Below are 1,091 nucleotides of genomic sequence, written 5' to 3'. Positions count from 1 at the left end.
GATAAGAAATGGTTATACCTGGATATATTCTGAATGTAGGGCCAGGAGAATTTGCTGACAGACTAAGATGGGTGAGCGGGAGGTATAAGAGAAAAAGAAGAGTCATGGAAGATGCCAACCCAAGAACCAAGATGTAAAAGAGGGCAGACGGAGTAAGTCTGAGGTAGAATATTAGGAGCTCAGTTTGAACTTGTTAAGATTGGGATGCCCTTTTTTTTTTCTCGCGTCCTGGCCATCTTAGCGGCTGCTCTTGGTGGAGGGCCATCTCGCACCTAAGGCAGGAACATGGTGGCCGCAAAGAAGATGAAAAAGTCACTGGAGTCGATCAACTCTAGGCTCCAACTCATTATGAAAAGTGGAAAGTACGTGCTGGGGTACAAGCAGACTCTGAAGCCAAGGCAAAGCTAAATTGGTCATTCTTGCTAACAACTGCTCAGCTTTGAGGAAATCCGAAATAGAGTACTATGCAATGTTGGCCAAAACTGGTGTCCATCACTACAGTGGCAATAATATTGAACTGGGCACAGCATGTGGAAAATACTACAGAGTGTGCACACTGGCTATCATTGATCCAGGTGACTCTGACATCGTTAGAAGCACGCCAGAACAAACTGGTGAAAAGTAAACGATGCAAAATTTTCCTTTAATAAAATTTGCCTGAGCTTGTTTAAAAAAAAAAAAAAGATTGAGATGCCCCATTTGTCTTAAATAAAGATATTCAGTAGACCATTAAGTTCACAGTTCTGGAATTCAGGGAAGAGGATGTCTGTACTAGAGATACTTTTGAGAGTCATCATCATATAGTAATATCGAAAACTATAAGATTTGGATGAGTTTGCCATGAGAATGAGGGTAGAAAAGAGGAGAGGTCGTCCAAGGTCTGAGCCCTAAACTCCTCTAACATTAAGAGGCTGTGGGGATTAGAAAGAAACAGCAAAGGACCAGGAACAGAACCACAGGAGGCAGAAAGAAAATCGGGGAATTGTGGTGTCATAGAAGCCAAGTGAGGCCAGTGTTTCCAGGAAGTGGGAGTGATCAGCTGGGTCCAGTGTTGCCAATAGGTCAAGAAAGATGAAGACTGAAAGCTGACC

The 1,091-nt window shown here is 43.1% G+C and overlaps 1 pseudogene; it reads left to right on the top strand.

Moving 5' to 3' along the window:
- Positions 218-669, top strand: RPL30P4 (ribosomal protein L30 pseudogene 4; annotated as a pseudogene).

Source organism: Homo sapiens, chromosome 3, assembly GCF_000001405.40.
Source record: "Homo sapiens chromosome 3, GRCh38.p14 Primary Assembly".
NCBI classification, from domain to species: Eukaryota; Metazoa; Chordata; class Mammalia; order Primates; family Hominidae; genus Homo; species Homo sapiens.
The sequence above is the reverse complement of the archived record's forward strand: the minus strand, read 5'-3'. Positions and strand labels throughout refer to the sequence as shown.